Source organism: Homo sapiens, chromosome 2 (genome assembly GCF_000001405.40).
Source record: "Homo sapiens chromosome 2, GRCh38.p14 Primary Assembly".
In the NCBI taxonomy this organism is placed as follows: Eukaryota; Metazoa; Chordata; class Mammalia; order Primates; family Hominidae; genus Homo; species Homo sapiens.
Window position 1 is genome coordinate 162,109,827 of NC_000002.12, and position 13,246 is coordinate 162,123,072.

A 13,246-nucleotide genomic window follows, 5' to 3' on the forward strand; every position below is an offset into this window, starting at 1 on the left:
CTGTCTATTCTTTTTTTTTTTAGACAGAGTTTCGCTCTTGTTGACCAGGCTGGAGTGCAATGGCACGATCTCGCCTCACCGCCACCTCTGCCTCCCAGGTTCAAGTGATTCTCCTGCCTCAGCCTCCAGCTAGGATTACAGGCATGCACCACCACACCCGGCTAATTTTGTATTTTTAGTAGAGACAGGGTTTCTCCATGTTGGTCAGGCTGGTCTCAAACCTCAGGTGATCCGCCCACCTCAGCCTCCTAAAGTGCTGGGATTACAGGCATGACCACCGCCCCAGCCCTGTCTATTCTTTAGTTGATGGATATTTGTATTGGTTTCAGTTTTGTGTTATAATTGTGCATACTACTGTGAATATTGTTGTGGTATATATGTCAGGGAAACTATGAAGAAGAAGATAGGTATTTAAAATGTTTTAATTCTGAAGTTGGTGGTGGACTTCGTAAGGGTTTATTTTATTGGTATGCTTTGTAGTTTTTATATATAAACACCCGTGGTCAGGAGTTTGAGACCAGCCTGACAAATATGGTGAAACCACATCTCTACTAATAATACAAAAATTAGCCGGGCTTGGTGGTGGGTGCCTGTAGTCCTAGGTACTAGGGAGGCTGAGGCAGGAGAATTGCTTGAACCTGGGAGGTGGAGGTTGCAGTGAGCCGAGATCATACCACTGCCCCCCAGCCTGGTGACAGGGCGAGACTCCACTTCAAAAAAAAAAAAAGTATGTTATTTTGTATGTATCCAATACTACATTTTAAAAGATAATAAAATAGTGCTATGGAGAAAATAAGTAGAAAGGCAGAAAACAAAATATGATATTATTTATATAAAGCTCTAAAACAAGCAAAACAATGTTATTATCACTAGCTTAGTACATTTCACATGATAAAACATATTCATCAGCTTTAACTTAGTTTATTGTCCAGACAGGACTCTTCCAACTTCAGCCTCAATGTAAATTATGTCTTCTAAATTGAGGACAAACAGCTAGAATCTACGGTCTACCTTAAAGTCTACATTTTTACGAAGTATCATACAAGGATTCCATGCTTATTTGCCATCTTCCTATGGTAGAGTTTTGGAAAGCTTAAGTTCCAGAAATAAGTATAAAGATTAACTCTTCCCTTTCCTTTTTTCTCAGGATGTTAGTTATACATGTTAGTTATATGACATATCATAATTTTTGTTATAAAAGAAATACATTTTCATTACAGTAAATTTGGAAAAGTATAAGGAAGGAAAAATCACCCACATCCCAACCATCTTAACCCGTGTTCATGGGATTCTTTCTAGTCTTGTTTCTATGAGTGTATTTATACACGTACCTGTGTGTGTATATACATGTGTATTTTAACGAAGATTGGGGATGCTCTACATACACTGGTTACATGGTCTGCTGTTTACTTAACTTGAATACTTTCCATTTACAAAGATTCTTTGAAAGCATAGTTTTCTTTTTTGTTTCGTTTTTGTTGTTGATTGTTTTTTAGATACATGATCTCACTATTTTGCTCAGGCTGGTCTTGATTGAGTTCAAGTGATCCTCTTTCCTTGGCCTCCCAAAGTGCTAGGCTTACAGGTGTGAGCCACCATGACTGGCTGAAAGCATAGTTTTTAATTGCTGCCAAGTACTTAATTGTATATAACATTTATAAATCCTCTTCAATAGTGATTTTAGTTACGTTTTTGTTATTTTGTTTTTAAATGCGTAATCACTTTGACAATCACATGGCGAAGACTAAGGTAGTAGTCAGGACTACAACTCTGAATCCAATGTTTATTTAACTATTATAAATACTTGACGCTAGGTATGATGCTTGTTTGTCCTGTTTAGTCACTAAAGATGGTCCCTTAACAAACCACACTTACATTCATAGCCTTGGGTCATCTTCTCCCACAGTGAATCTGGGCTTGTCCTGTGTAGTCAATATAATTCAGTGGAACGGAGGCTGCATGACTTTGGGCTAGGTTGTAAGAAGCCTTGCAGCTTCTGGCTTGGTCTCTGTGCTCCAGAAAAACTTGGAAGACATCTGACTACCTGAGATTGCCTTGCTTAGGGAAGCCGAAGTTGGCCAGGTGCATAGGCCATATGCACAGAGAGAGAGAGAGAGAAAGAAATGGTCTAGACAGCTCCAGATGTTCCTAGCCATCCCAGCTGCGGGCACACAAAACAACTTGGATGTCCAGACCAGTCAAGCCTTCATATGCCTCTAGCCCCAACCACTATATCTTTGTCACTACATGAGCAATGCCAAGTTGGAACTGTCCAGCTGAGTCCAGTCAACTCACTGAAAGAGCATAATGAATTGTAGTTTTAAGGCATTGAGTTCTGAGGCGGTTTGTTACACAGAAACAGAAAATCAAAACACTGCTTCACTTCTATGTCTTCAGCACCTGGCATGAGGCTGGTGTACTTGGTATATTGTAAACACTTGAAAAACATTTGTTACATAAGTAAATAAACTTACAAGATTACTTGCACACACAAATAATATGTGTATAATTGTGAAATTTCCTTATAATTAAAATGCTAAGAAAATAACTCACTTTCTAGTTTGTTATTTCTTGTTTTTCTCAGTTTCATTTTCCACTGGACTGACTGGGTCAATAAACATTGAGTTGGTATTTGTACAAACACAGTAGAGCCAAATGTCATAACTGGCTGAAATTTTTCCTTTCTTCAGAGAGTCCCACTTCTTTGATGATCTAGGCAATGTGTTACAGGAAGGTCCAGTGCAGAGCGAAGTCTCAGCAATTATTACCATTTCTTGTTGTTCAGACTTCTTGCTGCAGGAGCCTCAGTGTTTGCACAATCACACTGCACAACTTCCAGGGAGATTTCTGCACATCTGACGCATCACCTAAAATAAAGAACATTCTATGCCACTCAATATCAAAGTCTCTTTAGATGTTAGCTCAGGCCCTGAGATGCGCTCTGTCATGTTGGAGAGGGCACCCCTTCCACTCTGAACTTGTACCATCTTGCCCCAACCATTGAGAAATGTGGCAACCATAAGCAAACCTTAGAACTCCCACAAACAATTCCCATCAACACAAATCTCATTCCGAGGGAAAATTTTTGTAGAAATTACAAACACCAACTTGAGACTTCTATAAAAACGACATGAAACACATTGGAAATGGTAGGCCTACGTAGGTTACTGCCAAATTTCTAATTCACAAAGTGGTGTGCTCTTCTCAGGGTTGTTACGGAGGCCTGGCCACTTGCTGTGTACAATGGGAGATTCCTGGAGAGGCTCTTTCTCACTTTAACTTTTTTTCTAACTAATCTAATTCTGATTTCAGCTTTCAACATTTCAGTACTTAGATTATTCACTTTAAACGGGCAACCCATGGGCTCTTTTCTCTGTTCTCCCAGAAACTGTGGGAGCTGAGTGGCTTTCCATAATATGCGCTACTTGGTCTCACCCTGAAGCAGAGAAGACTTTGCCTTGTACAACTTCAAAAGGCCCTTTGATAAGTTATGTTTGGCTTCTTACTTAAATATAGAGCAATCCAGCTTATTATCACTTCCAGTTTGTTTTTAAAATAAATTCTTTCTTTATCACACCCTCAAATCCATCTAAAGAATGTTTAAGTTCTGTTTAAACAATTAAGAAAAGCCACCCAAGGTATTAGCTGCAACAAGGGTGAGACTTGTGGTGTGATGCAATGTCTTACAGTGTCCCCTCTGCTCCAGAGTCTTGTCCCTTAGTCTTAAAATTCAGAATATTCAGTTATCTGGCCACCTATGGGGTCTTACTGCATGCATGAGCCAGATCATGACAGGCTAATTCTGAATGGTCAAACCCAGCAGGCTCCTCGGTGAAACAATGGGCCAACCTGAATCATTTGCAATGAATGAAGAACTAGATCAAACTCCAGAGCAACTGCTGCTAATAGGGATACTCTGTCATCCACAGAATATTTATTGTTATTAAGCCTCATATTAGCGTTCCTTCATGTGTAGTTTGAGAAGTGCTGATTTAGACAAAATGGATTGAAACAACATTGTTAGTCTCCACTTTAAAGATTCAGCTGAGTGTCAGCTGCTCCAGGGAGCCTTGTCTGACCCTAGAGCAGTTTATCTCTATGACACCACTATTGTGCAATGCAGTGCTGTGGTTACATGTCTCTGTTCCCCCACTGCATTGCTTTCTCCTGTTCTCCTTGAATACACTAATCACAAGTTTGGCTTTGAAGAGTTCATGAATGGATGCATGAATGAATGAATGAATGAATGAATGAATGAATGAATGAAAGAAAGAGTGAATGCAGTGTCAGATGTGTAATATTGGAAAAGCACTGGCCACAATGGTAGCTGTAGAACTCCAGAACTTCTCCTGAGTAATAGTTATAGTATTATCCCTTTTGCAAGGTTGTTGAGGAGTAAAACAATGAGATAATCTGTATTATTTTATTTAGCAAATGTATAATTGAGTGTCTACTTGGAGCAAAATACTGTAAAAATATTCCAAAGTGCTTTAAAAATGATACTGTTTCTCTTTATTTTATAATAGAATTTGGTTGGCCAATTTCTCTAACTGTACATACACTACTAGGCAGGGTGGCTTTCCATTGTTCTCTAACATCCTGTTTTTAGATTTTCTTGCTAGGAATTCACATTTCCTCATAACTCACTTTTATTACTACTTTGTAATACTATAGCAGTATGAACGGTCCTGTAGGGAGCCTGAACTGTGAGTATTTTGATAACCTTTCTTTATGGTCATGCTTGGTTTAATTTGGACATGATTCAGGAAAAAGAAAAGAGAAAAAAAAAACAGAAAAAACAACACTGCAGATTTGTTTTTTTTTTTTTTAATAATTCAACATAATCCTTTAAGGATGCAATGCTATTTTATTTTAATTTTTTATTTTATTTTTTATTATGCTTGGTGTGTTTAATTAGAGTGGTTTGGATACAGAAAACAAGTTTGATAGAAATTTGAATTTAAGTTTGTTTGGCAATTGGATACCAAAGAGAAATGTAAGAAATATTTTCAAAATTTGAGAACATTTTGGTTCTTAAAAACTACATATTATGTAAGTTAATGTTTACATGGCTTTGAAATGGTACAGGCACTAATGTATGACTGAAAGGAAAACTTAGAGAAAAAGGCATCTTCACTTAGGAACAGCTGAATTTGGGAACTAACAAGAGCAAAGCAAATAATTCAGTAAGTTGTTGCATGGAATAAATTTACTATGGTAAAAAACACCATTTACTTTGAGAACATTCCGATATTTTTCAAAATAACTCATAACATCATTTTGTATAATGGATGAGTTTCTTTTAGTGGTCATGGTTTCATAATTTGTAAAACCTAAAAAATGTCTAACCTTCTAGTTAGTTTTCATTTTTGTACTTCTTTTAGAAGTACAAAATTCTATGCTATGACATATTAATTTGCTATGGGTTGAGTGTGCTAAATTCCAAGAGATATGGCTTCCAAAGGCACTCAGATAAGCAGGCAGAAAGGACAGAGTCATTGAATCCCAACAGTTATTTAAGTCTAATGGAGCGTATGCGATCACAGCTTGGATTGTGGTTCTGAACCAATGAAAAGGTTGAGTTTCAAAACTATGAAGTTTGAGCCTCAGACTCATTTTCATAGAAACCCTGATGTAAATGATACATAAATTCCCAATTTAATGGGTATGGTTGCTGGAAGGGTAACCCCAAATCTGAAGTTGGGGACAAGTCTCATTGGTGATGACTGTATTTGAAGGGTTGCTTGTGGTATTGAGTGAGTGGTCTCTGTGGTCCTCATGGAGCTGCACAGCCTCATGTGGAGGACCATGAAGGTTCGATACTGGAAAAGGTGTCTAAGGCAGCAGCTGCTTCAGGCAGCAGAAGGCTGCAGAGGGAGAGTTTTGGGGTCTGTTGCTAGGGTGTTGTGGTGGTTGTAGTCCAGAGACTTGGAGCAACACTGGGGAGGACTCAGATGGTATTAGAAGACATGCTTCTGGGAGATGCTGCCATGTCAGAGACAAGGCAGGTGTGACTGGTCTGCATATCCTTCATAAGTCCTGTCTCTAAGTCATGCATTTCTAGTTACTTGGCTGAGTAACAAATGACCCCAAATCTAGAGGTGCAAAACAACCTTTTATTATGTTCATGGATTCTTTGGACAGGGCACAGGGAGGGCAGCTTTTTTGTGTGAGGCCAGGAGCCATATGCAGAAGACTCAAAGGCTGGGGCTGGAATCATCTGAATGCTTGCTCACTCACATGTCTGGGGGTGCTTCTGGCTGTTGCTGAGGGTATTTCTAGGACTATTGCTGTGGACTGAATGTTCGTGTCTCCCACAGATTCATATGTTCAAATCTAATCCACAGTGGGATGGCATTTGGAGGTGGAGCCTCTGGCATATCATTAGGTCTGGAGCAAGGAACACTCATTAATGGGGTTAGTACCCTTATAAGAAGAGGTCAGAGAGCTAGCTCATCCTCTTTCCACCATCTGAGGACACAGCCAAATGTGGCTGTCTGTAAACCAGTAAGAGATCCCTCACTAAAACCTGACCCTGCTAGCACCATGATCTTGGAATTTCAGCCTCCAGAACTGTAGGAATAAATGTTTGTTGTTTGAGACACCCAGTTATGGTATTTTGTTAGAACTGTCCAAGTTAACTAAGCAGCTGTCAAGTGGAATAGCTACACATAACTCTTCCATTTGGGCTGGGCTTCCTGTCAACATGGTGGCTGATTTTCAAAGATAAGCATCTTAAACAGGGCTTGCTTTATGGATTTGTGTCCTGTGTAGTTACACAAGACTCACACACAGAAGAGGGCTCTGTGCTTGCCACTGTTTTGAAAGAAGAGGCTGCTCATTTTCATTTTCTCCTGGGTTCCACAAATTTTATCACTGGTCCAGATTATGACAGAGAGAGAGAGAGAGAGAGAGGAGAAAGATAGAGGGGGGTGGGGAGAGGAACTAGTCAGAAGCTATATTGCCTTCTTTTAATTCATCTAGGAAGTCAGGCAGCATCACGTCTACTACATTGTATTTGTTAAAAGCAAGTCATTGAGGTGCCCCATATTCAAAGGGGAGATAATAGATTCCACTGCTTGATGGAAGGATGTCAAGGTTCTGGGAGAGTATGTGGGAACATAAATATTGCTATGGCCATTTTTGGAAAATACAATCTGCCACACATGCTCTGCATATATTTCTGCAGGTGCCACCTACTGGGTTAGTTTTTATTTTGTTTCTTGTGTAATAGAGTGTTAAAATTAAAGTTAGAGACTGAGACACCAAGATAGAATTGATGTGATATTCCAAAGCCAGATCACAGTATGTGAAATTTACATTCCATGACTTGAATCCCCTCAACCACTTTCAGAATGGAAAGAGTTGACATAGAGGAGAATTTTGAAATGATTTATTTGGAAAGATCAGTTGCTCCATTCAGGTTTACCCCATGTTTAGTAAGGGAGACCTCCAAGAGTTCATTTGGAAAGTTTTGAATCACCTTCCTTGAAGTTAGGAGCAACTTAAGCTGTAAAAATTCAAAGAGAGTAATGGCAAGAAGATAAGGCATTATATTTATTTTTTATTAAAAATTTTGTATGTTATTAAAAGTTTGTATTTATCTTTTCATTTAAATTAATAGCTTTATTTTTATTAAAATTAGCATTTTTGTTTTCTTTCTTTCTTTATTTTTTGAGACAGAGTTTTTGCTCTGTTGCCCAGCCTGGGGTGTGGTGGCACGATCTCAGCTCATTGCAACTTCCTTCTCCCAGAAGCGATTGATTCTCCTGCCTCAGCCTCCCGAGTAGCTGGGATTACAAGTGAGCACCACTACTCCCAGCTAATTTTTTTTTGTATTTTTGGTAGAGATGAGGTTGTCTCCATGTTGAACAGGCTGGTCTTGAACTCCTGACCTCAAGTGATCTGCCCGCCTCGGCTTCCCAAAGTGCTGGGAATACAGGTATGAACCACTGCGCCCAGCCTAAAATTAGTGTTTTTAAAAGGTGATTTAATCAGTAAGGTATTTATTATCACCATATAAAACAGACCTAGATAGGGGCCTCCATGGTTAGGGAAATTTGTAATTTGTAGGCTCAGCAGATACAGCATAAGGGTGATAGCAGATTTGACCACATCTACAAATAATATGCATCTTTCCAAGAAGCCCAGACTGGGTACCCCTTGAGGCCCCTTGGCCATTGCCAAGCCTTCTCAGAGGTGATGGGAATGAATCCATTCAAATGGGCCCAGGACAATCCTGAATTCTCTCCAGAAAAGGGGAAGGGAGGCCAGCGAGCTGCTTTGCCTATGCACATGGAGATGACTTTCACAAATATTGAATTCAGGCAGGATGGAAAGCTTATACCTTCAGATTTCAAAGGCAAAGGAATATTTTCTGTGGACTAGCTATGTGTGGGGTGATTGGGCAAGTGAGTCAGTGTGGGTTTTTTATGAATTTGTACAAGGACCCTAGATGGTTGAAGGGCCAGAAGCCAGAAGTTGAAGTTAATATCAGATAATTAAGGGCTACAGAAGGACTCATGAGTAACCCCTGACTAACCATTCTGGTTTGCCCGGATCTCAGAAGTTTCACAAGATGTGGGCCCTTTAGGCTAAAATGGGAATATTCCTGGACAAGCTGGGATAGTTGGTCACCCTACCTACCTTGGGCCACCCATAATAGGATGCATTAACCCAGGACAGGACTGCAGGGCAGGGGCCCACCAGGGAACCTACAGGATGCCCGTGAAAGTGCCCATGAAAGAAAGACTCATCTGCAAACATTTGCCAGGCCTGGAAAGCCCGAAGCCAGTACAAGAAGGACATTTCCTGGCCCTTTACCATGTCTCTCTTCTAGCTCTGGCCTTAGCCCAGAAACTGGCTGGCAAGCTGCGGGGAGGGCATCAGAAGGGAGGAGGGAAAGCACTAGGTGAGGAATAGAGAATAAGCCATCCACAGCGGAGCAGCCAAGGAACAGGGACAGGAAAAGGTTTAGTGCTAAATCAGTTTCAGTTTCTGGTTATGTAAGATGTTCTGATTACTGAATTCCACTCACTTGTTACTAAAGGGATTGTAGGACGTTCTTGTCCTCACATACACACCCAAGAGTATCTAGAAAAGTCCTGGGATGCACGTGAATGTTCAACTGGGGCAAGGGAAGGTTAACTCCACTGAACACTTGAAGGGGAGTGCTGTGATTTCACAATGGGCCATGCTTGTTCAATATACTTCTTATACTGGAAATTTCAAAAATCCTGTTCCAACGAGAGTGACAAATGGCAGGTCAAGGAAATAACTTGTTTATTCCTCTACTTTGTGAGGATTATGCACTTTCCATGGACTGTTTAAAATTCCTCAAATGATGAATTTAAGAGGGAAAAAATCTATCTTTCCCATCTCTCACTCAGTCTCCAATGGCTATCAAACATCAAATATTTTCCTCTTCCCTAGGCTGGAGGCCTAACAACTCTGGGAACTAAACATCAGATTTTCCACAGAGAATTGTGGGTTCATTTATTCTTTGGGATGATTGTCAGATATTACTTGTCTTCCTCTACCTCCACTGTACCCCCTCAATCAGGTGAACCCACCTGCTAAGGCTACCTGTCTCAGCTCAGCTCAGCTCAGCTCATCTCCTTCTACTGGGATCCTGGCCTTCATAAAGTGCCCTTTACACAGACGCTGGCTTGTCAGTATTGCTACATATTTCCACCCAGCCCTGTGCCATCCATACCTGGCACCCAGTCTCAAGATCTGATGCTGATTCTCTGGTCTCTCTGGACCAAGCCATCAGATGCTTCTGACTCAGTTGCCCAGGATTTCTGTGTTAGAAAGAAACTGCCTGGGAACTGCTTCTTGATTTTTCTGGATCAGGCTTCTAGTCCCAACTCTGTTAAAATTCCTGGTATAATCTTAGACAGTTGTTTTAACCTCTGCAAGCCTCAGTTTCTTCATCTATATAATTAGGATAACAATAGTTGTGTTGCCTAGGGATACTGTGAAGAAATCAATTAATAGATGTGAAAACACTTTGTAAAAGTTAGACAGTAAATATATGCATGGTAGTACATATATATGCATTAGTACAATCTGGTTACCACGCTGAAGTTGGGATTTTTGATATTATTACCCTTATCTTTACCCTTCCCTGTCATTGCTGCATCTCTTGGCTTTTTGCTTAGATCCTTGATCTTCAGGACCTGATGTGCTGAATGTCAATATCCATCTGCTCACTGAGATGATCTTATCAGGCTCAATGTCTTCCTGTCACGTCATGCAAAGGTCATTTTCTCGCTCTCTTTCAGTCCCAAGTGAGCCACCTGAGCCTTCTCTCTTCAACTGCTTTTCTTTCTGACCTAATCTCCTAATGAATACGGAGACCTGTGCAATTCCAACCAACACTCTGCTCTTTTCTTCCTTCATAGCTGTCACACAGAGGAAACCCAAGACAGCAACATATTCTGGAAGCCAGGTGAGGAGAGTTTCTAAGAGGGAGAGAGTGAAAAATTCTGTCAAATGTCAAATTCTTTTCAAGGAAGATGAAGCCTGAGAATTGAGCACTGGATTTAGCAATGTGGAAGTTACTGGTGAGCTTGATAGGAGCAAATTGGGGGAAAAAATGAAATAAATTTCAATTAGAGTAGGTTCAACAGAGAGCAGGAACAGCTAAATTAGAGGCAATGATAAACAGCTTTTTCAAAGAGCTGTGTTTTGTTTTGTTACTTTTTTTTCTTAAGGTAAGGAAAAGAATGGGCATTAGCTACAAAGACAATAGGATGATGAAAGGTTTTACCAGACAATACAGACAAAAAAGAGAGGATACACTGATGAGAGAGGAGAGAAGAAAATGGCTGGAACAATGACTTGAGTAGGTTAGAGCAGAGGGGATCCAGGGCTGTACTGGAGGGGCTGGCCTTCAGAAATGGGGATGGCTCAACTATATCGCAGGAAGAGAGTTGGAACATGTGTACACACATGCATCAGGGGAGGACATGGAGGGTGTCTTCTGATGGCTTCAGTTTTCTTAGTTACACAGGAAGCAAAGCCATAAGCTGGGAATGAGGATGGGGGAGGAGGTGTTGGAATCTGAGAAGAGAGAAGGTAAGAAATAACCACATAGGAGAGTAGAACAGTAAATTATCTAGGGAAATACAGTACAATTGCTAGGCAGTGTTAATCGCCCTGGTAATGTTAATGATCATGAATCTATATTGATGTCGTTAGTGGATTTTTCTCTAGATATATTCATTTGTGTGAGTGTAGTCACAGTGTAGGCAGAATGTCAAATTTAACTAGGGTTTGGCTTTATCCAAGAGAGTTTGATGAACAAAAGTAAGGCAGAGAAGTTGGGGGCAAATTTAAGGGAGTGATTATAATGAGTGACCATGAAATTTAAGCAAGATAATGAGGAAGTAAGTGAGGCTGCAAGGAAAACCAGCAGGATCAATAGACTGAAGACGGCAGGATGGATTGAGCCAAGTGACTAATTAGGGAAGAGAGTTCCAGGCAGATTGTAGTTGTTTGTGAGGTTGGGGGACTATTGGAATTGGGGTTCAGGAAATGAGTTGAAAAATAGCAGTTATTGACCAGAATAGTAAGCTGCTTAAAATTGATGTTATGGAGGGTTTGCAGTTATGGTAAAAGTACAATTGTTTATCCATGGGAATAAGTGGCCAAGGTAAAGAGGAGAACAATATCTCTAGAAGTGGGGAGGCCAAGGAACTGAGAGAACAGACATTGGAAAGGATCTGCTATAGGGATACTGAACTCACTAATAAGTAGGAGAGAATTAGAGGTAGACAAAGTGAAACATAAGTTAATTATCTCCAAAGATTAACAAGCAGTAACCAGGAAGTGCTGGTGATATATGGTGGCACGAGGGTAGAGATGACCTCAACAAACCCAGTCACTTCCAGAATGCATACAGATCTGGCTTAAAATGTTCTGGTCAGGCTGGGCTCAGTGGCTCATGCCTGTAATCCCAGCACTTTGGGAGGCTGAAGCGGGCGGATCACGAGGTCAGGAGACCATCCTGGCTAACACGGTGAAATCCTGTTTCTAATAAAAATACAAAAAAATTAGCCGGGCATGGTGGCGGGCGCCTGCATCCCCAGCTTACTCAGGAGGCTGAGGCAGGAGAATGGCGTGAACCCGGGAGGCGGAGCTTGCAGTGAGCCGAGATCGCGCCACTGCACTCCAGCCTGGGCGACAGAGAGAGACTCCGTCTCAAAAAAAAAAAAGACCTTGCTGGTCATTCCACACAAGCAAGTGGGTAATGAGGGACCATTGTTTCATGCTAGTGTTCTTATTCTCGCCATTATTTTTTTTCAGTTTTAATTGAGCTCGTGAATATTAGAGAAGAAAGAAAAAAAGGAAAGAATGTGGAGTGATGATAATTCAGTTAGTTTAATCCAGCTCAGTAATTAGTTTCAAAGTGTGGTTTGGGAACCCCTGGGGTTCCCTAAGACCTTTTTTCAGGTCATAACTATTCTCCTAATGATACTAAGATGTCATTTGCTGTTTTTGCTCTTTTCGTCTTGGGAGTGTACAGTGAAGTTTTCCAGAGGCTAGATAACTTATGATAGCAAAATATGATAATAAACACTGAGTACAGAAGCAAACATGAGAATCCACCTGTCTTCTATTAAGTCATGTAAAACAATGGCATTTTTCTTGTTATTTTTCCTGTTTTGGAATACACAGTCTTTTTCATAAAAAGTATTATTTATGTTAACTTGTAATGGAACTATTCTTTTAACTTAAATCAATAAAATGAATATTTAGGACTTTCTGTTTAATTTTGGATATGTTAAATGTTAATCGATATAGCCTGGATAAACAAAAGTCCTTTGGGGATAGCCAATTTTTAAGAGGGGCCTGGAGACCAGAAAGTTTGAGAAGCTCTGATTTTTGTCACTTACTAGAAGGCGAAGACTGGGAAGCCTGAGAGGTTGGACATATCGAGAGAAGTGGAGGTGAAGGGTCCTGCATAAACACTTCTAACCACTGTGACCTGCAACATGTTATAATATCAACTCCCTGAGGCTCTAGCAGGGGACATGCACAGGTCATAAAGTTTCTCTCCTAGCTATGGAAGTTCTCCTTACTTTGAATATCACTAGATGTATTTATTGAATTAGTAATTGTTATGAAAAATTGAGCAATAAATCAATCTGTATAAGAAAATGGTATATCTTTGAAATTTCCATAAAGCTCAACTGTTTTAAAGGCTTAGAAGTTTGCCTTTCTTTTTTGATTATGAAAG

At 40.2% G+C, this 13,246-nt stretch overlaps 1 long non-coding RNA gene across 1 annotated transcript in view, besides 1 other annotated feature; it reads left to right on the forward strand.

Moving 5' to 3' along the window:
• Nucleotides 2,653-2,947: a silencer, noted in NCBI's record as "tiled region #10348; K562 Repressive non-DNase unmatched - State 24:Quies". NCBI's record gives its function as "represses a minimal TATA promoter and a strong SV40 promoter by Sharpr-MPRA in K562 cells {active_cell/tissue: K562}" and the evidence as "EXISTENCE:reporter gene assay evidence [ECO:0000049][PMID:27701403]".
• LOC101929532 (uncharacterized) overlaps nt 4,615-13,246 on the forward strand; it is a 58,299-nt gene continuing 49,667 nt past the window's right edge. The window contains exon 1 of the long non-coding RNA NR_110255.1: nt 4,615-4,706. This is a non-coding gene — a long non-coding RNA (uncharacterized LOC101929532). The remainder of the gene's footprint in view (nt 4,707-13,246) is intronic.